Source organism: Homo sapiens, chromosome 8 (assembly GCF_000001405.40).
Source record: "Homo sapiens chromosome 8, GRCh38.p14 Primary Assembly".
Lineage (NCBI taxonomy): Eukaryota > Metazoa > Chordata > Mammalia > Primates > Hominidae > Homo > Homo sapiens.
The window spans coordinates 109440527-109468133 of NC_000008.11; the positions used below are offsets into that span (position 1 = coordinate 109440527).

The 27607-nt window shown below is 35.2% G+C and overlaps 1 protein-coding gene across 7 annotated transcripts in view; it reads left to right on the forward strand.

Moving 5' to 3' along the window:
- Positions 1 to 27607, forward strand: part of PKHD1L1 (PKHD1 like 1) — a 174747-nt gene that overhangs the window by 78066 nt on the left and 69074 nt on the right. For 6 of the 7 annotated variants that reach the window (NM_177531.6, XM_011517371.3, XM_047422421.1 and 3 more), the window contains 18 exons: positions 184 to 326; positions 749 to 853; positions 1481 to 1669; positions 2420 to 2590; positions 3150 to 3376; positions 4135 to 5119; positions 7617 to 7865; positions 8812 to 8961; positions 10449 to 10623; positions 11598 to 11754; positions 12192 to 12348; positions 13641 to 13720; positions 14197 to 14326; positions 15736 to 15865; positions 19069 to 19310; positions 21246 to 21382; positions 23690 to 24719; positions 26052 to 26243. In NM_177531.6, the coding sequence (NP_803875.2) occupies positions 184 to 326; positions 749 to 853; positions 1481 to 1669; positions 2420 to 2590; positions 3150 to 3376; positions 4135 to 5119; positions 7617 to 7865; positions 8812 to 8961; positions 10449 to 10623; positions 11598 to 11754; positions 12192 to 12348; positions 13641 to 13720; positions 14197 to 14326; positions 15736 to 15865; positions 19069 to 19310; positions 21246 to 21382; positions 23690 to 24719; positions 26052 to 26243 (4649 nt within the window). The remainder of the gene's footprint in view (positions 1 to 183; positions 327 to 748; positions 854 to 1480; positions 1670 to 2419; positions 2591 to 3149; positions 3377 to 4134; positions 5120 to 7616; positions 7866 to 8811; positions 8962 to 10448; positions 10624 to 11597; positions 11755 to 12191; positions 12349 to 13640; positions 13721 to 14196; positions 14327 to 15735; positions 15866 to 19068; positions 19311 to 21245; positions 21383 to 23689; positions 24720 to 26051; positions 26244 to 27607) is intronic. The other variant, XM_017013971.2, reaches the window with a different exon arrangement.

Here is a 27607-nt window from a genome sequence, read left to right on the forward strand (position 1 = left end):
ATTGAATATATCATCCAATCAAATCGAGATTATGATAATTGCCAGATTGTCTATCTTGAAAAAGTAATGTACAGTTAAATATCCAGTTATTTCCTCTTTCTAAAGAAGTCATATCCTAGCAAGAGTTTAGCAAGATAAATCAGTAGGAAGCTCATTGAAAAATCTATTCATTTTTTTTCTCAGAGACAAATTAAATTCTTCAATACAGTATGTTTTAGAAGTGACCAGCATGTTTCCACAAAGAGGCTCCTTGTTTGGTGGAACTGAAATCACCATAAGGGGTTTTGGATTCAGCACAATACCAGCTGAGAATACCGTGCTGTTAGGTAAGAGCTTCATTCATAGGAAAGTGATTATCATTTTTCTCAGCTTAAAGGATATACTACAGGTGCTGAGTTATTATATGAATATTCTAAATCACAGCTTTATTTTTCTAGTAGCATAAAAAAGGTAAGTGTATTTGGTTAAAGTGATAAAGAGAAACTGAATAACTACTTTTTATTTCAATAAATAATTACTGTGTATTTAATGTGTATGCGACATATAGAGTGGAGGAGTTTTTCCGCAAATAATTAGTACTCACACATGATTACTATCAGAAAAGAAGTTCTGAAGATCCTGCTATATAAGGCAGAGTTTTTTTTAGGGTCTTGGCTGTTGATGAATTATGCTTCATCTCTATAATTCACAAAAAAAAATTTGACAAAATGTTTGCTTTTTAAAAATATGCAGTATTTATTCTTTCTAGGGTCCATCCCTTGCAATGTTACATCATCATCAGAAAATGTCATAAAATGTATTCTTCATTCAACTGGGAATATATTCAGGATTACCAACAATGGGAAAGATTCAGGTATCAGCCATTTATATACTATGAAATAATGGAAGCACTGAAACCTGAAATTAATTTGATTTTTATTTATTTTATATTTCAAATTATTGAGAGACTAAGTATTGTTATTTCTTTTATAATTTGTCAGCAGTAACTGCTTGACATAGAGGGTCACATATAGAGCAAATTAGTGGTAGACTTGAGTCTAGAAGGCCATACTTTGCAATTTCCAACTTCAGGAATTACCATTTGGTTTTGCTCTAGTACAGAAACTCCCAGATTGTTGTAGTTTATTATCAGTCATGGATTTCCAAATGAATATTCCAATTAAAATTGATCATAGCTTTAAAAATATTCTATGTAAGATTTCTAAGCAAACTATTTATTGACTTTCCAATTTTTTTTTCAAATTGTCTGTTGATCATCGCTTTTGCAGTTTTGTGACTTAATTTTTCTTATCTTCTTATTACCTTGCTTTCCATTATTTCTATTTGTTTTTGTTAAGTGCTTAAATTATGTAAGTAATTAAGTTTTAGTGTTGATTAAAATGTTTTCACTACTGACTGTATATAAATTGCCATGTTGTCAAAGATAATTATTAAGAAATTCTCTTTTTCTTTTAAAATATTACTCAATTCTTGCCCCCAGTACATGGATTAGGTTATGCCTGGTCACCACCAGTCCTAAATGTGTCTGTGGGGGACACAGTGGCATGGCATTGGCAAACACATCCGTTTCTTAGAGGGATAGGATATAGGATTTTTTCTGTCTCCAGTCCTGGAAGTGTAATTTATGATGGCAAAGGATTCACAAGTGGAAGACAAAAATCTACATCAGGTATGTTTCTGCTTATTGGGTTTTGCATCATGTCACTTTTTCCTAAATGTAATAAAATGACATTTTGTGTAGATTTAATACAGTATTTTTACATAAATAATATACACAAATGCGTAAGGTATTTGGCATTTTATTGCTGCAGTAAAAATGTTACTAATGAGTGTAAGCAAGTTATTTTATACATATTCAAGTGTGTTCTGATATTAGAAATATCTTATATTGATTCTGTGATAATCAACCAATTGAAAAACATATTGAAAAAGCAAAATGCAATAAAATAGGAATATATGTTTAAATCAAACCAATCTGGTAGCAAGCGATGAACTTTGACTGACTGAAATCAATTTAAAATCAGTGTTTCCTACAGGACAGCTCAGTGTAAAATGTGCCTTTTAGATTGTCTGTTTTGTTTTGTACATGTAAGATTTTGAACCTTTCACTCACGAAAAAAAAATTTTCTTTCATTTCATGTTGAATTTTCTTTAAATTTTGGTGTGTTATGCCAGACTTGCCATGGTTTTCTAGAAAATCAATGCCGGAACTTGTTTTCATGGAATGTAATTTCGTTACACAAGATAGCTTTTAATAGCGAGTTTTCTTACTACATTCTGTTGACATTTCATACACATGAAAAATAAGAAACTGTCATCTGTATGTGCATTTAAATGATCATTTCAAATTGTTTTCAGTCTCTTTTCAAATATGCATTAATTGCTTATATTTATTACGTACAATCTCATTTTATGGCAGGTTCATTTTCTTACCAATTTACTTCTCCTGGAATCCATTATTATAGCAGCGGGTATGTTGATGAGGCTCACTCCATTTTTCTCCAAGGAGTCATTAATGTTTTACCAGCTGAAACCAGACACATTCCCTTGCACCTGTTTGTGGGTCGCTCTGAAGCCACATATGCTTATGGTAAGATGGTTAAAGATGGAAACTCTGTTACACAGGTGACCCAGGGTGTATGTGATATTTCTGGAGCCGGTAGCAGATAACTGGGTCTAACTGTGCTTCTATCTTACTAGCCACGTGACCTTGAATAGGTTTGGGCTTCTCTGAGGCTGGAATTTATCCTCTAAAGTAAGGATCGCATTAATGTCTTCCTACCAGTCTTTCCCCCAGAATCCTTGTGTGCTTCCAATGAGAAGTAATGTAAAAAAGTTCTGACACTATGTATGTGCCTGGACGTATATTAAAATGTAAGATGACGTTGTTATTTTCCCCATGGGGTCTGACCTTGGACAAACTGAAAAATAAATCAATTTTATATTCAGTTTTCTCTATTTACTGTGACATCTTTGATCAGGTCTTTAATACTTTTGTACTGCCTAAGACCCATTTGTCATTTTGTTTTTCAAAAAAGATTTACCAGAATTTAAACCATCATCATCAAAATAAAGAGTAACGCAGTTTGAAAACAGTTATCATTTTGGAATGTTATTCATGACTTAACGGGCAGTTCTTTTGTCTAAAGGAGGACCTGAGAATTTGCACTTGGGAAGCTCTGTGGCAGGCTGCCTAGCAACAGAACCCCTGTGCAGCCTGAACAATACCAGGGTTAAAAATTCAAAAAGATTGCTATTTGAGGTTTCAAGTTGTTTTTCACCATCTATAAGCAACATTACTCCGTCCACTGGAACAGTAAATGAACTAATAACAATTATTGGACATGGCTTTAGTAATCTCCCATGGGCTAATAAGGTAAGAATATAAATACCTCCTTTGTACTTCTATTATATGTTCCCAATAAAAGTATTTTGACGATAACCTTGTTATTTAATTTTTACCAGCTTTATTGAGCTATATCACATACCATACAATTCACCCACTTAAAGTGTACAATTCATAAACTTTTAGCATAGGCCCAGAGTTGGCATTCATCACACAATCAATTTTAGAACATTTTCATTACCTCCCCCCCCCAAAAAAAACCCTAAAGCCCTTAGATATCACACCTAACCCCTCCATCGATCCCAGCCTAAGGTGGTCTCTAATCTACTTTCTGTCTATAGATTTGGCTGTTCTGGACATTTCTTGTAAATAGAATCATACAATATGTGGTCCATTGTGACCAAGTTTATTTATTTTTCACTCAACATAATGTTTTCAAGGTTCACACAAGTTGTACCATGTATCAGTACTTCATTTCTTTTTGTGACCTAATAATATTCTGTTGCATGTTAAGCAACCTTTTATTTATCCATTCATCAGTTGATGGACATTTGGGTTGTTTTCACCTTTTGATTATTATGAATAATGTAGCAATGCACATTTATGTAAAAATCATAATTTAATCCAAGAGATGCGTTAATCAGCCCCTCCCAAATTAAATTTATGAATAAAAGATATTTATTTGCACATGATTAACTTTTAAAATTTGTAGTTGTTGCTAATACAAAATTTGTTTATACTGGAGGTATGTATTGACTTGTTTTATTTTGTATTCATTTTACTTACAGGTTACAATTGGTAGCTACCCCTGTGTCGTAGAAGAAAGTAGTGAGGATTCAATTACATGTCATATTGACCCTCAAAACTCAATGGATGTTGGTATCAGGGAAACTGTCACTTTGACTGTCTACAACCTGGGCACTGCTATCAATACGTTGTCCAATGAATTTGATAGGCGATTTGTACTTTTGCCAAACATTGACCTGGTGTTGCCAAATGCAGGATCAACTACAGGAATGACAAGCGTGACCATAAAAGGCTCTGGATTTGCCGTTTCTTCTGCAGGTGTAAAAGTCCTTATGGGTCATTTCCCATGTAAAGTTCTATCAGTGAATTATACGGCCATTGAATGTGAAACATCCCCTGCTGCCCAACAGCTTGTGGATGTAGATCTTCTAATACATGGAGTGCCTGCCCAGTGCCAGGGAAACTGCACCTTTTCATACTTAGAAAGCATCACTCCTTACATAACAGGAGTCTTCCCAAACTCTGTCATAGGATCTGTAAAAGTTCTTATTGAAGGAGAAGGTTTGGGGACTGTTTTGGAGGACATTGCTGTTTTCATTGGAAATCAACAGTTCAGAGCAATAGAGGTTAATGAAAACAACATCACTGCTCTTGTGACTCCTCTCCCAGTTGGACATCATTCTGTTAGTGTTGTGGTGGGAAGTAAAGGCTTGGCTCTGGGAAACCTGACTGTCAGCAGCCCCCCAGTAGCATCTCTATCACCAACTTCTGGAAGCATTGGTGGTGGAACTACACTGGTGATCACAGGAAATGGCTTCTATCCAGGCAACACTACAGTCACTATTGGGGATGAACCTTGTCAAATTATTTCCATCAACCCCAATGAAGTCTACTGCCGCACTCCCGCTGGGACCACTGGAATGGTCGATGTTAAAATCTTTGTTAATACAATTGCTTATCCACCTTTGCTTTTTACATATGCCCTGGAGGATACTCCATTTCTCAGAGGAATTATCCCAAGCAGAGGTACTCCAATATCTGCCTTATTATCTTGATATTATAGTATCGATAATATTTATTAGTATGGAATTGGAATGATATTTGTAAATAACTATTAAGGTGTGTTTATAAATGTTCCCACTTACACTTAATACCTGGGATTCAAGCTCTGTGTAGTCTCTATTGTATGATTATTTTTCACACATTTATGGGATAACAATTTTAGCCAAATTTCAACTTCTATTTAGGAACAAAATTCCCATTAACCTGACCTAAATTTCAAATGAGGAAAAAATAAGTGAAGATAGACCAAAACTGATAATTCATTTATGTTATTGATGTTGATTTGCACTAGAAACTCTAGTTAAAAATCAAAAGTTACAATCTTACTTACATTGAGAGTGTTTCAGAGTACCTTATTTCCATGAAACTACAAATGAATATTAACTTATTAGCATGCCAGAATTCTTTTTAAGGAGATAATTGGCCCATTCAATGGAGAAAATATTATAAAATACGATTTTCTTAATTACTTAGCATGACTCATTTTTCTAATTTAACAATAGGTTGATATATCTTCTTAGTCCTTTGTCATTATGCTATGCTATTTCTGATTATCTTCGAGCTATTAGAATGCTTCGAGCTATTAGAATATATGTACTGAATTCCGGAGAGGAAGCTATAGCATAATAGTTGAGAGCTTGGCTCTCAAATGGTTCAAATTTTGGTTCCTTTAATTTCCAGCGATGAAATTTTGGACAAGTTTTTTAAAACATCAATTTCCTTATTTATGCAGGTACATACATTATAAAGTTAAAGAAGTTTATTCATATAATGTAACTTAGAATAGTACATTTAATGAAGAACTCATTAAATGTTAACCTTTTAGAAAAGTCTTTTTAGGTTACATCACAGGGAAATGTATCAGGTTTGAGTAAGTAGTATTTTCTGCCTTCAACGAGTTTGCTGTCGAAATCTTCTTTAATATGTCAAATTTGCTCATTTTGAAAAATGTGAACAATAACAATGGCACATTTCTTTTCCCATGTGGTTGTAATCATTGCAAATAATGGCATATGTTTCTTATTTCCATGGACTGTGTCTCTTCCCATCTCTGCCTTTGAATTTTTTTTTTCAAAACAATGTATTCAAAGGTATAAGAGACTTGCAGACATGTGAGAACTGAGCTGTTTTATTTGCTGAAGAGACAGGTGACAGAGCACACTGAGAACAACGCTGTTCCATTTGAAAGGCAAAATGTCAAGCAAAATTAAATGTTAAGACCTGTAAAACTTTCTTTAGATTGTATCTTAAAACTATTCTGTCCAGGTGCGGTGGCTCACGCCTGTAATCCTAGCACTTTGGGAGGCTGAGGCTGGCGGATTGCCTGAGCTCAGGAGTTCGAGATCAGCCTGGGCAACATGGTGAACCCCGTCTCTACTAAAATACAAAAAATTAGCCAGGCATGGCGGCATGCACCTGTAGTCCCAGCTACTTGGGAGGCTGAGGCAGGAGAATCGCTTGAATCCACGAGGCAGAAGTTGCAGTGAACTGAGATCACACCACTGCACTCCAGCCTGGGCGACAGAGCGAGACTCCATCTCCGAAACAAACAAACAAACAAACAAACAAAAACTTTCCTAACATGAAATATCTCTTTAGTATCTGTCACGTTTAAAATAAAATAATTATTTATATTTAAGCAATCCTCACTATGGTCAATTATATGGTAATTCTTTACTATTATCACTTGAATTAAAATCAAATTACTACTTGAGGGCACTGCGTTTGTAAAAAGTTATGTTGACGAATTTTCATTTAAAATTTAGGTATGTGGATATTCATTTGAACAACCTATGAAAAGTTCCACGTTTAATGCCCTTCACGTACATTTGTCAAAAGAGGGAAGCAAGAGAACAGCCAGAATCTAATTATTTGTTCTATGTGCACTCATTCAAGGCATTAACATCAACATTCACCTACAAGTCTTTAAATTAATTCCTTTTTTCTGTATTTCCTATCTTACACCCATTTACATATCATAATTTCTTTACCAAGTCATACCTATCAAAAATGTTTGAATTAAGAAAAATGTAGTCTCTCCTCAAAAGAGCTGCTAATGTCAGGAAGGAAGCTACCAAAAATAAAGATAGTAAGCCTCATCCTTAAAATATGCTCTAACCCATGCTGCTCAGACATTCATACTTCCTAACTCTAGACCTGCTCTTTCCTCCTCCTCTATTCTCTATTAGCGTGAATTAATAACTTACAACTCAGTAGAACGGACAGAAGGGCTGGAAAAATAATAAACATTGAGATAAATCACTTATAATTAATATACAGTAGACTGTAGGGTATATTGTAGTCAAAATGTATTGTATGACATAGCATGTATTGTTAATATTTATATTAGTTTTAAAACACTGGTTATTCTTTTATTTGTAAAAGTAAAGAGGTATATCTTTAAATGGATGTGTATTAATAGTTAGATATATTTATATTGTGTGCTTTTTTTTTTTTTAAGGTCCACCAGGAACTGAAATTGAGATCACTGGATCCAACTTTGGCTTTGAGATCTTGGAAATCTCCGTGATGATAAATAACATTCAGTGTAATGTAACCATGGCCAATGATAGTGTGGTGCAGTGCATCGTGGGAGATCATGCTGGGGGCACATTTCCTGTTATGATGCATCATAAGACAAAAGGCTCAGCCATGTCCACAGTTGTATTTGAGTACCCGCTTAATATTCAAAATATTAATCCAAGCCAAGGTAGTCATAAGTATGCAAGAACCTGCAGATATTTTGTTTCAGTAAACACTTATTTAGAAACCTTATTTAGAAAATAATATGTTACTCAAACACATAAAATTTCTAGTGTTTTTTTTGTTTGTTTGGTTTTTTTTTTTTGAGACAGAGTCTCGCTCGGTCGCCCAGGCTGGAGTGCAGTGGCGCGATCTTGGCTCATTGCAAGCTCTGCCTCCCAGGTTCACGCCATTCTCCTGCCTCAGCCTCCCGAGTAGCTGGGACTACAGGCGCCCGCCACCATGCCTGGCTAATTTTTTTTTGTATTTTTAGTAGAGACGGGGTTTCACCATGAAAATTTATAGCACAATACAAATACTTTGCTTTATGTAGCAAATAAATAAGCATGTAAGTGTATAATTATTTATTTCAAAATACTAAACTTTAAAATATAATACCTTATATTTCTTAGTGATGTATGATTAATTTACTTAAAACTTAATCCTACTTAAAATGACAGTTATACATGAAAATTTTTCTTAAATCATGTTTAGACATCACTGGTATGTAATTATTTCTACATAAATTAGTATCTTTTTTATTTAAAAAATTTTTTAGTTAAAAACCTTGAGAAAGTATAAATAAACCAATCTACTTAAAATAGTAATTGCATAGTCTATGTTTTGCCTACTCTGAAATCCTTTGTGACATCTTTTTTAAATAAAATTTTAGTTCCTCGAAATAGTTCAAATAAATTACCAGATATGACATTTACTCAGTGAAGATTTTAAAACACTACAATCAAAAGAGATTCAGTTGCATTAATAGAATAATGCACTATAATTTCAGTTCTAAAAAACTCTTCATTTAATGTAACTTACTTTTAACATTTAAAATAAAGGTAAAAAATATGTACACAGAAGAAGTTTTATTTTAATTAGCTTTGTTTTTCCTTTTTATTTGTCTTCACTAGGGAGCTTTGGTGGGGGTCAAACCATGACTGTGACAGGCACCGGATTTAATCCACAAAATTCAATTATATTAGTTTGTGGCTCAGAATGTGCAATTGACAGGCTTAGATCTGATTACACAACACTATTATGTGAAATTCCATCTAATAATGGTAAGTTGTCAGAAAAAGTAATGGCAGTCTTTGAGAACTAGTTAATTTTATAAAGATCAGTTAATTTCTTTTTTCAAGTTCTTGGATTCCTTGGAGTAATTAAATCACTTTATGACTGTCCTGATTCTAAGCAATTTCTTCAGGACATTTTCTAGATTTACATGTCTTTTGAGATTCATAAATTGCAGATGGAATTGTTTATAATAAATTGCAGTTTTTCAGTTTCTGGTATAAACTGATGGTTCTTAGTTTATTGTGCATACCAAATGGAGAACACATTTTTAGTTCCCATTAGAGTATTAGGATTCCATTAAAGATAGGAGTTTCATTAATGGCTATGAGTATCAACGCCGATAGTGCATTGCTAAACTCAAACCCTACTTGTGTCACTGAATAAGTTATTTAACCTCTCTATGCCTCAGTTTTTTCAACTATAAAGTGAGATGAATCACAGTAGTCTACTGGACTGTTGTCAGGTTTTATCAGTTAATGTACATAAAGTGGATGGAATGATGTCTAGGACCATATGTAATTTGCTATTATTCTTATTCTTACTTATTTATTTTTAGTTAATGGTTAAGAGCCTGGGCTCTGAGGAGTTCCTGAATCTCAATTTTGTTACTTACTGTGTAACCCTAGCCGAGTAACTTCTCTCTGCTTCAGTTTCTCCATGTATTAAATGGGGATATTATTAACTCTAATTCAATGGATTGTTGTGAAGATTAAATATTTGGTACTTTGGACAACAAAACTTAGTTATTACTTAACAAAATTTAAGAAGATATTTAAACAATGTGAATATTCTATAAGAATAAAGGATATGTTTTATGTGAACACATTTTTTAAAACCTTAGCAAAATTTGTGAAGCTTTTCTAAATATTGTTGCTTCTTTCTCTGACTTCCTTAACAAAGAATATTGAAAAATGCAATATTTTTATGACTGAGCTTATGTATCATTTCCACACCAGAGTTTGAATCCTGATTAAAAAATATATATATATATAGCAATGCTTTGAGACTTGTCAAGGTTTTAGGTTGTTTGTCTTAACACTGGCTCTGCATCTTCTCGTTATGTTTTTGCATCAGGTTTCTGTAGTCCTTGTCTCTGACCTTGCCTTCAGCTGTCACTCCTTGCTGTTGTCAGTGTGCCTGCCTTTAAGCAGTTCTTCCCTCCTTCCTGTTCTAATTTACAAAGTTGGATCCTCTAGAATTGGAAAACTAAGCAGGCAGGTTTGTAGAATGTTCTACAGGAAGAGTCTCCCCAGGAGGGTCGAAGGGCTTTTTCTTCTGTCGATAATGGGCATGAACTTTTGTAATGTTTTTGGCTATTGCTAGAGGGCCACTATTATTCACATGTAGCCTAGGTATATTGGAAAAGGAAGATGATTGTGTGAAAAGGAAGATGTTATTGAAAATGTTTGGAGGTTTTGGAAATGAATCAGGGCCCGATGGCAGAACTGCATTCAGTCTGATCTTCCTTTCATAGGCACGGGAGCTGAGCAAGCCTGTGAAGTGAGTGTGGTTAATGGGAAAGATTTGTCACAGTCCATGACTCCGTTTACGTACGCAGTGTCACTGACTCCACTCATCACTGCAGTATCTCCTAAGAGAGGCAGTACAGCAGGGGGCACCAGACTGACAGTCGTGGGATCAGGATTCAGGTACTGTCTCCACACAAACACGCATCATTGTGCATTTCCAGACTTGAGCCATTACTCCTGCTTTCTCCTATGCCCGGACAGTGCAGAAATACAGTCATGCAATGTGTACCTATATGCTCGTAACTTAAGCTTAAGGCAAAAATAGTACTAATTGCTAACATTTATTGAGTATTTATTTTGTGGCAACTACCTGCCTACCCACGGAGAAGTCCTGCCTTACTTCCTGAGATGTTTTTACCTCGTTTTATGGTTAGAAGACAGATTAAACAGGTTAGACATCTTGCCCCCAATCCTAGTATGTAGCATCACAAATATAAATCACCTTCTTGTTATGCTTTCTCCATCATCTTATCTCCAGCCATGATCTGCTTCATTGGATCAAAGAAACATCTTTCCATACAGCAGTTCTATTCCACTGTAATTGCTCAAGTTTCTTTTTCTTAAACATACTCATTATTTGGCTCAAATTTGTGTACTGCATTGTCATCATTATTCAGGTGCGGAAGGCTGAAGTCAAAACACCAGATCGCATACACCATAGAAGCTCATTGTAACTCCTCAAGCAGTTATGATTACCTTGAACTTGCATTTTTATCTGGAGGTTAAGTTCTAAAGTCCACAAACATGATGAAAATGTCACATGGACAAGTGATCCTTGAAAATCTCTTTTAAAAGTACCTGTTGGGAGATCAACATAGAATCACTGAACAACAACAATCACTGTTTCTTTCCCCAACACTGGAACATCTGCTAGTTACAGTCCTATTTTCTGGACTCTTAACCTCTTTGTTTACTTTTTTTCAATAAATATTTTGAAGTCTTAATATTGAAAAAAAGCATCAATCTACACTTTGGTGGCTGATAGAATCAGGTCATTTTTTTTTTGCAATAATACATAGGAATAAAAGGGTTTGACAGTGTGATCTAGATATTTGAGAAAAACATACATGTTATGTTTTCCCTCTTTTTTACAGTGAAAATATGGAGGATGTTCATATCACCATAGCTGAAGCCAAATGTGATGTTGAGTATTCCAACAAGACACACATCATCTGCATGACAGATGCCCATACTCTATCAGGGTGGGCTCCAGTTTGTGTCCACATCAGAGGTGTCGGCATGGCCAAACTGGTAATAGTGCTGTTGGGTATAGTAATCACAGCAATAGAAAACCAGCATTATGGGAGGTGGGCTAATTGGTAATTGTTGTTTTACTTTAATGTCTCCAAAAAAATAACTGAGCTGTGACCATAATAAATCTAAAGTAGCTTACATTTTTTGTTGCTTTTCCTAAAATTTTTATTATTTTAGATTTTTGATTTTTCTGAGTTGTGGGGTAATTGGTAATAGATTTTTTAAACTTGATCATTATTGTGAAATAAACCAAGAGGCAATTATGACACATTTTAAGTAGGTTAGATTTTATTATTAATAAAATGCTTATTGTTTATATATATTTACTATATAATATAAATATATTTATATTGTAATAAAATGCTTTTTGAAAAATCGAATGAAAAACTCTGGTAAAATCCCTAAATTTTAAGGTCTCTTATGTTCTATTACAGGATAATGCTGACTTTCTTTATGTTGATGCCTGGTCCTCCAATTTCTCATGGGGGGGAAAATCTCCCCCAGAAGAAGGATCTCTTGTTGTTATTACAAAAGGACAGACCATTCTGCTGGATCAAAGCACCCCTATTTTGAAAATGTTGCTTATTCAGGGTAAATTTCTGAATATCTGTTCATTGGACTCTGCCTGATAAATATTTCTGTGAAACTGATTTAATCAAAATCCACAATTATGAACAAACATAGTTGCACTATCTTTTTAATATACAGTGTAGTCCTGGGCTTTCTAAATTGAGTATTACAATCCATTTGTGATTATGATATTATTTAATGTGTTGCAGCCAGCATTTTAAAAATTAAATAGGATAGACAGCATCAGAATAGATTGCATGCATATGGGTAAGTACCTTTTAAAGCTAAATGTTGTTTTATGAAACTTTTGGTTCAATAACAATGTGGGGAGGTGTGAGCATGCCCGCCCACTTTCACTAGATCACAACAAAAAAGGTATTTTCCACTTTGAAAAACACTGATGTAGTGGGTCCCAGGAAATAAAAAGTCATCGAGATTTGTTCAGGTCTATCCTAAATGATCCCCTTGACTCCCTTTGGAAGATAGGTTGTGATTTTCACCTTTGCCTGTGAACCTGTTTATGTTGTTGCCTGGGTTTGTCTCTGCTGCTGTGTTTTATTTTTTACTATGGAAAACTAAATAACCACAACTGTGATAATTGCATGTAAAAGAATCATTAATTGGTAAGAGTAGACTGCTTGAGGATTTAGTGCACAAACTTTGCCATAACAGGCTTAGCCACCGGAAGACTCCTGCATTGTTATTTACTATTTTTAACTTCTGGGAAAATAGAAAAGTTTCAGGTTTTTGAAGTTATTAAATATTGGACCTTTGGACAAATAAAATTTTACTACTTACAAATTTATAAATTTACACTAGTCTCATAAAAATGTATCTTGGTATGATCTTTAATAATGCTAATCAGGCTATAGCTGTTGAGAGTGCAAATTAATGGGTAAAAGTTCAAAGCTAATGTTGACATTATAATGGTTTTTATAAACATGCTTTTCTTTAATTGCTTTTGTTCTTAATTTATATTTTGAGGTGCTGTGTTTGTACAACGAATTTGCATAGCTGAGCTATTTAGTAGCATCTAAAATAAGCTACTTTCCCAATGTTCAAGGGAAAATAATCTTCCCTGGGATTTGATTTTCTGTAAACTCCCATGGTCTTGTCTGGAGTTTTTATGCTTTTATGTTGCCAAAGAACTGAAGTGAAGTTATATGCATAACAACAGCAGAACATGAATGAGGAATTAAATTTTAATTTAATGTATAATTTAATAATTATGTTAAATTGTAATGAATAATTTAATAGGTAACTTTTAACAAGATTTTTCCTTGTGATGTATTTCAAAATTGTATGATTCATAGGTGGGACTCTAATATTTGATGAAGCTGACATTGAACTCCAGGCAGAAAATATTCTAATTACAGATGGAGGTGTTCTTCAGGTATTCAAAAGAACATAATACATATTCATTTCCAACCTGTCTCCATTCATTTTTTTAAATACTATGTGTAAAATGGATAGTTAATTATATCAACCTCTCCTAAGTTTATCTTTGTTTAGGTCTCTGTTATTGGTATAAAATCCTTTATGCAAGGAGAAAAGTTTCCCAGAATCTTGTGTTTTTAATGGGAAGATAGTAGTTTATATTCCCATAGAGCAGAATTTAAAATAGAACAGGAAAGAATTAACTCTGAGATGTGGCTAAAGTCAATCAGTATACCTTTCAAAGGTCTGGCATAGTGTATTTATTTGGCTGACTAGAAAATTAAAGGTTTATCTTTCAAAAGAAAGATATGAACAACTGAGCAATTAATTCTCAAAAGAGAAGAGAGGATAGAAAAGAACTACTTTTGTGTGATTAGAATTGTGGATTTGGGGTTTTAATTTTCTGAATGGCATTTGTGACATCTTTTGCAGATTGGAACAGAGACATCCCCATTCCAACACAAGGCTGTCATTACCTTGCATGGTCACCTGCGATCTCCTGAGCTCCCTGTCTATGGTGCCAAAACACTGGCTGTGCGGGAGGGAATCCTGGATCTGCACGGTACTGTGGCCAAGTGGCTAAGGGAGTTGGTAGAGGAAGACTCACCAGGACACCAGGGATAATTATCCTGTGATAATTATAATTTATCCTGTGATAAAGTGAAAGTGTGTTAGGCTTCTCATGTCTTTAGATATCCCCTCTTTACCCCTTCCTTCTTTCCCACATCCAAGCCAGGCTAGCCCAGACATCAAGACTCAGAACCAGGCCAGGTGCGGTGGCTCATACCTGTAATCCCAGCACCTGGGGAAGCCAAAGCGGGTGAATCACCTAAGGCCAGGTGTTTGATACCAGCCTGGCCAACATGGCAAAACCCTGTCTCCACTAAAAATACAAAATTTAGCCAGGCATGGTGGTGCACACCTGTAAGCCCAGCTACTTAGGAGGCTGAGGCAGGAGAATCACTTGAACCCAGGAGATGGTGGCTGCAGTGAGCCAAGATCACACCACTGCGCTCTAGGCTGGGCAATAGAGTGAGACTCTGTCTCTGTGTCAACAAAACAAAACAAACAAACAAACAAAACCAAAAAAACTCAGAACCAAGGTCACACTTGGGAAAGCCTTTCTGGGTCTTTTCTACATTCCTCCTCTTCCCCTTTTCCATGAGCCTCCAGGCTCTTCTCGTTTCATTTTACACTAACCGTAGTACCTGTCTGTGATTGCCTGTTTACTTTATGTATTTATATATATAAAAAGACTAAGTCTAGAAACAGAAGAATGTAATTTCTTAAATTTGTATCTGAAAATGGGGCCTCTCTAAAATATAACAAGGGATTTATAGTTGTGGATTTCTATAACTATATCCTAGAACCTTGTCAGCAAGTAAAAATGATTTTGATCATGTTTGAGGTACCAGGGCAACATACTATTTAAAGAAAGCATGGTGTGAATCTTTTTTATATTGACGTCTTCCACATTGCAATAATCTATCCCCTTTATAAATTTAGAATACCATAAACATGATACCTTATTATCATAAAAGTCCTACATAGGGCTCAATATATATATACTATGTAATTTCTTAGAAAATCTACATTTGACTCTAGATTATTAGTTTAAGAAATTCCTACCAATAATGACAAAGACAATAGACTTTTGCTCATTTTGTCAATATTATCACACCCCATTTACATTGTGTCCCTGTAAAAAAAGATGGTTATAAATAGGGTATATCATTGCAGAAGAATATTTTTGAAAAGTTTTATAGTCATATACATGTCATTACAAACACAATTGTTACTTTTATAAAGCAAGCATTCTACATATTTCTTTTTGGAGAAATGTGTGAAATGCTAAGGTAAAATGAGCCTCTCCAACATTGATTCAATTTAGGAAAAGATTAAAATGTATAAAGTTCTCAATAACAAATCAAACACATGTAAGGAAATACTCAGTGTGTATGTTGGTTCTAGGTGTGCCTGTTCCTGTGACCTGGACTCGCTTGGCTCATACTGCAAAGGCAGGGGAAAGAATTTTAATTTTACAAGAAGCAGTAACATGGAAACCAGGAGATAACATTGTAATTGCAAGCACAGGACACAGGTATGATATCTTCTGGGCTTAATGATGTGTATTTAGAAAAGAAATTTTTATACTGTATAAAGAGGGACAATTCAGATGGTGCATGACTATTTGGTTTAAACTTGAAATCTCTAATAAAGAAATATGAACAGCCAAATACAGATTTGCCAAGTGTTAACATTAGGTTGATCACATTTGTATTGCATTATAATTGATAGATTTACAATAAGAAAAAACATAAATTCGAACCTATGAAATAACTATGTCCTAGTAAAATGTATGTTTTACACGGTTTGGCTCCCATGTAAGAATCTATTTGGAAAAAAGAAGTGTTTGACTACTAAAAGTCATTTGGAAATATCTTAGAGTTTTAAATAAATACCTTAATGAATGCAAAAATGTAAATGAGCTTCTTAGTTGGAGGTCACCAAAGAACATGTTTGAAAGCAGCTAGTGAACTCTCTTATCTTACAGCCTTAGCAAATGGTTCCCACTGAGCAAAATCGTTAATAATGAATAAATAAAAGAGAAGAAATAATTATACAAAAAGTGATGATTCACATAACCTTTTAGGTGCCTGTTATTTTAAAACCGAAACTACTTATGACCCTTAATTTCTGTTTAATTACATTTTTTAGCAAATAAGACATAAAAGAAAGAAAATTAACATAACACCACCAAGTATCACCTGGGTAGGGGCAAGAGGAGCATTATTTTTGCTTTATTGTTCAAATTATAGATAATAGTAAAATTGAATATGGTTGTGATTATTAGGAAATGAACAGTGATTTATAAGAAACAGCTAAATTGTGTTAAGGCCATGATACAACTTAAATTTAAAATTCAAGATGGCATTTTGAGTTTGCCATATTCCATGTTAAAAATAGACTTGCAGTTATTAGGAAGAATTAAATATATACTTAGCTTTAGTGCTCATTTTGTTCTGCCCTTGGAAGAAATTTTAATTATATAATGGCAAAATTAAAAAGCAGGAAAATGATAGGGGTTACTAACAGCATAGAAAATCTTCATTTATGGCTTTTTGTATGAAATGAAAGGGTTTAGAATAGGGCTATTTAGTTTTCAGAAACAAGAATTAAGGAGTTTCCCACCAAATCTAATTGTTCACTGTGTCATTGATAAATCCTATTTGAGAGTTTGCAAAGCCAGTGGTTAAGAAAATGCCTTCAAAAGTCAGTTTGTCTCTGTCTAGCTCCCTGCAATACCACTTACTAGTTCTGTAGTTATATTATTTTACTTCTCTGTGCTTCAGTAAAATTGGAATGGTATTAGTAAGGATTACATTAGTTAATAAGTGTAAAGCAGTAAAAGCAGAACTTGGCTCAAACTAAGTGCTTATTAACACTTAGTGTTGTTATATTACAACAAAGGAAGGAAAGATGTGTTTAGGTACATACAACATATGAAAATGCTTTTCACAACTTCTTTTCTAAAGAAATCATTGTATCATCCGAATCCAGGAAAATTCAAGAGAGGCTAATCTAAGGCCTTTTTGCATACCGCCTGTGAGATCTTGTACCACTGGTTCGCCCTTATCTCTAAGCATCCTTAATCTCCACCTCTCCTTGCCCCTCCCCCACAATTTCTTCCCTCTATCTTTTGGAATGATTCTTGTCCCCATCCACCCATTGTCTTGATAAACAGCTTTGTTCTCCTGTCTCCTGTAGCATCTTTCTTTTTTTAATCCTTTATTTTAGAGTTGTAAACTGCTTAAATATTATATGCTCATTTCTTCTATTTTATCCTTACTATCCTTTGTTTTCTTTCTTTAAACACCTATAGTCTAGTTTTCTTCTTCACAAATCTTTTTCAGTGACCTTCTAATTATCATCATTCATTATTTCCTTTGTATCACCAAGTTCTTTTGGTCTGCCCTTGGCATGTCTCTCAGCTTTCTCTGCTCTCAGTTTGATTTAGATTCTCAGCCTCTCACACCTGGAATATTACATCATCTTCCTCTTTGGGCTCCATTCCACTTTCTTCCCCCCACGAATTCATTCTGCATTAATTTGTTCAATCAATCAAAACCGTTATTGAGTTGTGACAGGTGCTGTACTAAGTGCTCAGCATATAAAATGATTTCAATGGGTGTCATGCCTAGAAGAGCAGACAAGTCAGTGGAAGGGACAGAAAGGTAGATATCTCATAGGACTGCAGCGTTGTTGCTCTGAGCACTAACAGAGCTTTATGCAGAGTGTATTGAGAATGCAGAAGTAGGGTTGGGAAAGTTGAGAGAGCTGCTTTGAATCTATTTCACATGTGACACTGTCATTTGCACTGGCATTTAAAGGAGTAAAAGGATTTGTCAAGGGAGGGAAGGGTAAAAAGAAAATGTTGGGAAAACACAGAGGTAACTCCCTTAGGCTTACCTTTGTTAACAGCAGCAATCACACTTTAGTAGATAATATATTATACAATCAAGCATTGACACACTTGTCTCCTTAAAATCAGGGAAACTTTCTACTTGGTATCCCCAGTGCTTAGTTCTATGCCTAAAATGCAGGTTAGAACCTCAATAAATGTTTGTTGAATGACTAAATGCATGAATGTGTACATTATAGAACTGGCAAATCCCTTCTGCTGTGGCTGGAATTTGGGGTATATTTGGAGGAATGGTAAAAACGAGACCTCCTAAGCTTCAACTCAATCATTTCTTTTCCTTGTTCAGGAACCTTCAGTGACTCTCCCTTGTAAAGGTTCTCAACTTGTGCATGACTGAAATTTTGGACCAGATAATCTTTGTTATGTTGGGGAAATCCTGTGTATCATGGGATGCTTAGAAACACCCCTGGTCTCTACCTACCAGATGCCAGTAGCAGCCCCCAATTGTAACAACCAAAAGTGTCTTCAGGCATTGCTAAATGTCCCCTGGGAGGAATAAAATCATCCTCAATTGAGAACCACTGAGTATGATCCTCCAAGTTATAAATGAATAGTTTTCCAAATACTTTTTATAAGCTAATCCAGTTCTAGGAACGAATGTAGACCTTGAAAAATATTTCATTGAATTGAATATATTTGTAAAACTTAGTTAATCAAGCAAGAATAAAATATTTTTTCTAATTTCTGTTCAGAATATTATATGACATAAGAATAGTTTCCTATTTTGCAGAGTATTTAAAATGAATAAAACAAATATACCAAAACAATATGTTATGTCAATTTATATTAATTTTAAAATTTTTTTGTCAAAATTTTTACAGACACAGTCAAGGAGAGAATGAAAAAATGACCATTGCATCTGTGTCTGCTGATGGCATAAACATAACACTAAGTAACCCACTAAATTACACACACTTAGGAATTACGGTCACACTCCCTGATGGAACTCTGTTTGAAGCAAGAGCAGAAGTTGGAATTCTTACAAGAAATATTTTAATAAGAGGATCTGATAATGTTGAGTGGAATAACAAAATTCCTGCATGTCCTGATGGATTTGACACAGGTAATTTTAGCAGCTCTCGTGGTTGGTATAATCATGCCATATAGTTTTACAATTTAATTGGTTTATATTGAAATACATTATTTCAATGTATTTCATTGTAAATATCATTAAATATAATTTAATGATATTAATCTTATAAGATACCATTAAATATCTTATAAATATAATTAAATGTGGAAATTTGGAAATGCTGATAGTATTTGTGAGTAACATGAAGATATTTGAATATATTGAAGAAAAGTGGTTAATGCTGACACTATAATGGGAGAAATAAGTGCACTTGGATTCTGTTGATAAATTATCTTCCTATAATTATGATTCATTATTATGTTTAGATTAGACCTTGATGATTAGTTTTAATATTGTCAGCAAGAAACTGCATTATTTATATTTACTCAGAAAATATGGCAAACTATATTTGATAGTGATACAAAGATTCTGTTTAGCAAATCCTTGACTGTCAGAGCTTTTTTAATTTTCCAGAATTTGCAGTTTATCAGAACAGTGTGAGAGTGGGTTTACTGTAAAAGATATTTTAATTAATTCCTAGACTGATGATGGATAGACAGACAAATGGATAGATGGAATGATGGGGGGAAAATCTATAGATATATAGATCTGAGCCAGTGGGGGTAGGCTAAGTCCGAGTTTTTCAAAGTCAGCTCTGTTGGTATTTTGGCCCAGATAATTCTCTGCTGTGGGGCACTGTCCTGTGCATCACAAGATGTTTGACAGCACACTTGGCATCTACCAACTAAATTCTAGTAGCCTCCTCTAACAACTGTGACAACCAAAAGTGTTTCCAGACTTTGCAGAAATGTTCCCTGGGGGCAAAATTGGCCTCAGTTAAGAAACACTGGACTAGGTTATGCTCTATTTACAAACAAGCCCAAAATGTCAGTGATTTAAAATATAAAAGTCTATTTCCCATTCATGCTACATGTGTCCCATATGGGTCAACAGGTGGGCTCTTCTCATTATAATTGCCTTGGGATCCAGGCTTATGAAGGATCTATCTCAGCACGGGCTTCTGTGATGTCTGAGGCAGGAGATGAGATTACTGGAAAGTAAAGCACTAGCAACTCATTGCTTTGGTCTCAAAGTGACAGGTGTCTCTTATACTCAAGGGTCATTGGTCAGAACTGATTCCATGGCTATGCCTAACTTGAAGAGAGTGAGTTAGTGCAAAACCCATATACCCAGAAATAGAAGGGAAATGGATATTGGTGAATTTTAGTGATGTTTATATCACAGTTCTCATATCTATAGCAGGAAGCAGAATGCATCTTACATGTCTCTTTTAAATTTTTTATGTAATCATTCATATCATTACAATACTATAAGTAGTTGAACAATAACTGATGCAGCTTAAATAATAGTCTTTTCTTCAAAAGGAAGTATAAGACAAAGCCCATGGGATTTTATGTCAAATGAGCTACGTTCTCATTCCAGTTCATCAGTTCATCTGCGTCAATTATCACAATGTACATGAAACCTAGTTTCATCCATTTAAATTAAGAATACTTCCTGTTCTATTTACTATGGTTGTAAAAAAGTAAGTGACATAATGCATATTCTCATGTTCTACAAATATAAAATTGCATTGATTATGTTAATCCTCAAATCTTGGGGAAGGCTTCATAAATAATAAAACTAAATCCCATTATCAATATTCCCTTGATCATTCAAATATTTGTTTAGTATCTTCTCTGAAAAATACTGTATAAGTACTTTAGGGAATACAAAGTTGAACAAGACAAGGTACTTACCTATCTTGCTATCTAAAAGAGGAAATGATGTGAATGCAAATAACTATGTTCTAGGATGAGGTTGAGATCATATGTGAATCAAATGATACACTTAGTTATGAGAAAATCTTCAATATAAGAGGATTCCGACAATTTTTTTAATGATGCTTTAAAAACTGTTTTGAAGGAGAATTTGCTACACAGACCTGTCTCCAAGGAAAGTTTGGAGAAGAAATAGGAAGTGACCAATTTGGAGGCTGCGTTATGTTTCATGCTCCTGTACCTGGTGCTAACATGGTAACTGGGAGAATAGAATATGTAGAGGTGAGAGGCATTATTACTAAATCACAGTGGTTTGCTCAAGGTTATCCATACAAGAAATGTGTGTTGAACTCCTGCTGTTTGTCAATGCTACTTATAATCTGGTAGGGGAGACAGATACATAAGTAAACAATTTTAATACACCCATTTGATCATGCCAAAATTTTGTTTCTCAAATTTTCTCACACCTCGAATCGAATTAATCAGCATTTCTATCTTCTCTACCCACAAAATGCTGTAACCAGAATCCAGTCTCTTTCCATACCTCCACCTGATCCTGTGCCTGAGCCACTATCTCCTCCCACCTGGACTGCTGTGATTTTCTCCTACCTGGTCTTCCTGCTCCCACGTTGCTCTAATAGAGTTTCCACACTTCAGTCAAAGTAAAATTTTAAAACCATGTATCAGATCTTGTTACACCCCTCTTCAAAATCCTTCAGTGGCTTCATGGTATACGTAAAACAACAGGTCCAAGTCCATCCCATAGGAATCATGTGATCTGACCCAGAGATACCGTCTGATTTATCTCCTACGACCCTATGCCTTGCTCGTGCCATGCTAGTCATAGAGGACTCCTTATGTGATCATGTCAAGCACATTCCTATCTCAGGTCCTTTGTACTTGCTTTTCATTATTTATTTATTTATTTATTGTTGAGATGGAGTCTCACTCTGTTGCCAGGCTGGAGTGTAGTGGCGCAATCTCAGCTCACTGCAACTTCCACCTCCAGGGTTCAAGCAATTCTCCTGCCTCAGCCTCCTGAGTAGCTGGGACTACAGATGCATGCCACCACACCCAGCTAATTTTTGTATTTTTAGTAGAGACGGAGTTTCACCATGTTGGCCAGAATGGTCTTGATCTCCTGACCTTGTGATCCACATGCCTCGGTCTCCCAAAGTGCTGGGATTACAGGCATGAGCCATGGCGCCTGGCCTGTACTTGCTTTTCATTCTGCTTGGAATCCTCCTCCACCAAATACTTGCATGGCTGACACCCTAATTTCAGTCAGATCTTTTGACAAGGGTTATCGCTCCAGAGAGGACTTTTCTCACCACTGTTATTTAAAATTGCCACCCAAACTCCTGTTTACTTTATTTATACATAACTCCTAATAGGATATCTGTTTTTATTTATTTTCAACCTCTTCCTCTAGAACATAAGCTCTATTATTTTACAGATGTTGTCTTTATGGTTCTCTGCTGATTCCCTGGAACAATGCATGGCATATAGTAGATTCTCAGTTGATTATAAATTAAACAAATACATAAATATGCATGTTATCCCTATGACACTAGAAACTCCTGTGTATCTTATTTATATTCAGGCTGTATAATCACGGTTTGGCATAGTTCTTATCATGTATTCAGCAGAAGGAAGGAAGGGAGGGAGGAAGGGATAATAAAATCCATAAATCCATTAAACCAGGCACACCTCGACTGCATTGATGGTGACACAGTCAGCACCTCCATTTTGTAAACTTCCCTCCTCCTGAGATATGTTACATGTGACATCTCAAATATGGACTGAGATTGCTAGGTTGATCTGGATATTGAATATTAATAATGGTTAATTTTTAGCTTTAGATGGACAACAAAAATAGAGGAAGTAACGTTTTATTTCCTTACCCCATGAGATTATATGCTCACATGCATGCACACACGCACATACACACACACACAGACACACTGGTATCCTCTGTATTAAATTATTAAATCATAGACCATTTGAAAGAATGCACAGCAGGGTGATTAAGAGCACCAGCTCTAGAGTTAGACCAACTTGGGTTTAAATGGAACTTTGTAACCATAAACAAGATGCTCAGCCTTTCTAAACTTCCATTTATTAATCTGTAAAATAAAGTCAATGGTAAGTGCCTACTTTAGGGGATTATGGCAAAGACTAGGATCATGCATGCAAAAGAGCACAACACCTGGCACACATAAAACATTCAAGAAATGTTTCTTGTTATTACATAAGAAGCAAAGTAAAGTAAAAGAGGAAAAGAAGTCTTTCAAGATGTTTTATTTCCTAAAACACAAAAGTTTACTAATATACCAAGGCAAAAAGCAGAAGAGTCAAAGATGGCTTTTTACATTCTTTCATTCATTTTGTAATAAGTGTGGTCTGCTATACATTGTATAAAACATGGTGGGTTGGGGGTTCAATAACATTTTCAAATAATAAACATGAAAAATTTGGAAGAAATAAATATATTAATAATAATATAAAATTAGATATTTTTTGAAACAAGAAAATATGAGCTCAACATCTGAGCTATTACTAAATAACTGTGATTTCTGGGCTTAACAGGTATTCCATGCTGGCCAGGCTTTCCGGTTGGGGCGATATCCAATACATTGGCACCTGCTTGGAGACTTACAGTTTAAATCTTATGTAAGAGGCTGTGCAATTCACCAGGCCTATAACAGAGCTGTTACTATTCATAACACACACCATCTTCTGGTTGAGAGGAATATTATATATGATATTAAGGGAGGAGCATTTTTTATAGAAGATGGTATTGAACATGGCAATATCCTCCAGTATAACTTGGCAGTATTTGTACAGCAAAGTACCAGTCTTCTGAATGATGATGTGACCCCGGCTGCATTTTGGGTCACCAACCCGAACAATACCATACGACACAATGCTGTTGCTGGTGGCACTCACTTTGGCTTTTGGTACCGGATGAACAACCACCCTGATGGGCCATCCTATGACAGAAACATTTGTCAAAAAAGAGTTCCCCTTGGCGAATTTTTTAACAATACTGTCCATTCTCAAGGTTGGTTTGGAATGTGGATCTTTGAGGAATATTTCCCCATGCAAACGGGATCTTGTACATCTACAGTGCCTGCACCTGCAATATTTAACTCACTTACTACTTGGAATTGTCAAAAAGGAGCTGAATGGGTCAATGGAGGTGCCCTTCAGTTCCATAACTTTGTGATGGTGAATAACTATGAGGCTGGAATTGAGACTAAGAGGATCCTGGCTCCTTATGTTGGAGGGTGGGGTGAAACCAATGGAGCGGTGATTAAAAATGCCAAAATAGTCGGCCATCTTGATGAACTGGGAATGGGGTCTGCATTTTGCACAGCAAAAGGCCTGGTTCTCCCATTTAGTGAAGGCTTGACTGTCTCTTCTGTGCACTTTATGAACTTTGACCGTCCCAACTGTGTAGCTTTGGGAGTGACATCCATCTCTGGAGTTTGTAATGACAGATGTGGGGGTTGGAGTGCAAAGTTTGTTGACGTCCAGTATTCTCACACACCGAACAAGGCTGGCTTTCGCTGGGAACATGAAATGGTAATGATTGATGTTGATGGCTCACTTACAGGTAATGTTATTTTTTAATTTGTGATAAAAATCCATTGGAAATATGTTTGTGTTAGCACAGAATTGAATTGTTAAAGCAGACTTAGGTGCCTTACAGATCTTACCCAATAGCAAACTTTACTAATAATTTAAATGATAGAGGCAAGCACCAGGCACAGATGAGACATTCGTTTCTGGAAGAGCCCCAATCTGTCAGAGACAGCCTCCAAATATGTCCTTTTTCTCCTGCATTGGCACATTGATTTTAAATTAACAGAAAATTTTGGGCAATATTCATGGAAACATTGATCACAAAAGGAAACCATTTCAGTTTTAGAATGCCTCCATTTTAAACTCAGTTAATTGCACAGATAAGAAACTGCTTACATCACTACCCTAATTTTTCAGCCAGTCATGCTCCAGAAACATATAAATTGCAGGCTTATTTACAAAAGCAATATAGACAGACTGTATCTATCCTTGCGAAAATACTTTTAAGAGAAGAAATAAGTCACAAACCAGCTGTGAACCCTTTTATTCCAATCTAAATCCTAAATTTGTAATTTATTCAAAGAATACCAAAAGAACAAAATTCCATATACATTGTAGGTTAAATTTTTTTAGCATTTCAAGTTCAGAGTATGTCACATTTTCAATATTTCATAAACATTCATGATTTCTAGAATTTAGCATCTTTACAAATTGTAAATGATAAAAAATCTGTCTAAATAAGATAGCGAGGATATGTGCCTCATACTTTGTGAGTCAATCGACAGGTAAACCTATAGATGGTAATGATTTACTTTTGAAAGACTCTGAAGGATGAAAGAAGATTCATCTCAAAATTCAAATGCAAAAGTTGAGTTTTCAACCACAGTTGTTAACTTCTGTTTCAAGTATAATCGTAACTTTAAAGAGGGAGAATGTTTGGATGCCTTTGATATATAAAGCTTTGTGTAATGTTTATTGATTTACTTAATTCAGTTTAAGTTTTTAATGTTAATTGGTAGTCTACTAGTTTCGAGTAAAGGCTTTATGGTCATAACACCTGGATTTAAATCCTCTGTGTCCTTGAATAGGCTACTCATCCCACTTCCCATTTCCAAGTTTGACTCTTATGGGTGCTTCAGACCCTGTGTTTCAGCTAAATCTACAATAATATTCCTGACCAAAGAGCCACTGCAAAGCTTCTGTATGAGATCCTCTTGCTCCATGCAAACAAGCAAACAAACAAAACTACCCAGACTTTTAGACTGTATTAGTGGTACTATGGGTCACAATTCTGTATATTGTAGACCTTTTTTATGTTTCTTAATGTGAAATAAAAAACATATTTTGTTTGTTTGTTTCCCAGGGCACAAAGGACATACCGTCATTCCACACAGCTCATTGCTAGACCCTTCTCATTGTACTCAGGAAGCTGAGTGGAGCATTGGGTTCCCTGGATCAGTCTGTGATGCTTCAGTCAGCTTTCACCGTTTAGCGTTCAACCAGCCTTCTCCAGTATCTCTGCTTGAAAAGGATGTGGTTCTTTCAGACTCTTTTGGTAAGTGGAATATATTAGTTTAAACAACTAATTTAAATATATCTTCCTAAACTTTTGTCATCATCTTCTTGCATTGTTACTTGGTTGTTCAAACATTGCAAAAAGTATAACATTTATATTAGAGTCCAAGCAGGAAACAAATAATACTCTCGAAGTAGGTGTTTGAGAAGCATTTTATAAATGCAGAGGCTAGCGAAATATTCTGCTGATCAAGAAACCTCCAGACAATATTATGACAGAGAGAGGGAGCGTTGGCACAGCCCTTGGAGCAAGTAAAAATGTACCAGTGTTCCTGCCACTCAAAGCAAATGTTTTTGATTGTCCTTGCTGATTGAGATGGGATGGGGGAGCATTTACTAGGTTAATAGCTGCCTAACAGGTGCCAGGGATTGTGGATTTACTGATTTGTTCCGGTAAAGGTACAATACCTGGAACACCAGATACGCTTGGCATCATTACCTGATTATGTTGCATTAATTTACTGTCATTGTTCATAATCCATCTGGCATTTGCACCAGCCAAACGAGCAAGCTAACTAAATGGGGATGTGGTGAAAATCCTGAATCTCACGTTTCTTAAATCTTCAATCATGGCACTAATCTCTACATTCCGCCCCTGCCCCGCCCCCCTTCCCCCCACTGCCCCGCCCCAACTCAAGGATTTAAACTTGCTTTTATTTGATTAAGGAGGTGGCAAAATGGTTCCTAGAGTATAGAGTATCCACATAGTTCCTCCTACTATATTTGACCCTACTCCATTAGTTGGGGAACCAGTGTGGGAATTCTTCCAGTTATTAAGTCTGCCTAGTCTCACTCTACCTGACCTAACCTACCCTGACTGGCTCAGATCTGTATCTCTATCTCTTTATCATTCCATCCATCATCTCTCTAGAAATTATTAGTTAAAATATCTATTTATAATGAATCCACTCTCACAAAATATACTGTTCTGAGGGACTGCAGATTCTGAAAAATGGAAAAAGCATTGATGAATCAAAGATTTGCTAAACAAAATCTTTATATCATCATCAAATATGGTTTTTTACATTTTCTGGGTAAATCTAAATGATGCAGCTTCTTGACAGCAATATGGAAAACTGTCATCATCAAGGTCTAAACACATAATAAGGAATCGTAAGTATAGAAAAAGAGTTTAATAACAGAATCCAAGTGCACTTATTTTTTCTCTTATAGTGTCAATATTTACCATTTCTCATCAGTATTGCAAATACTTTCATGTTACTTTAAAATGCTATCAATATTGTTGAATTTCCCCCATTTAATGATATTTACAAAGTAGAGACTTGCCATTTAAAAATTTTAAACGATGTATCTCAATATAAACCAATTAAGATTTGAAAGTGT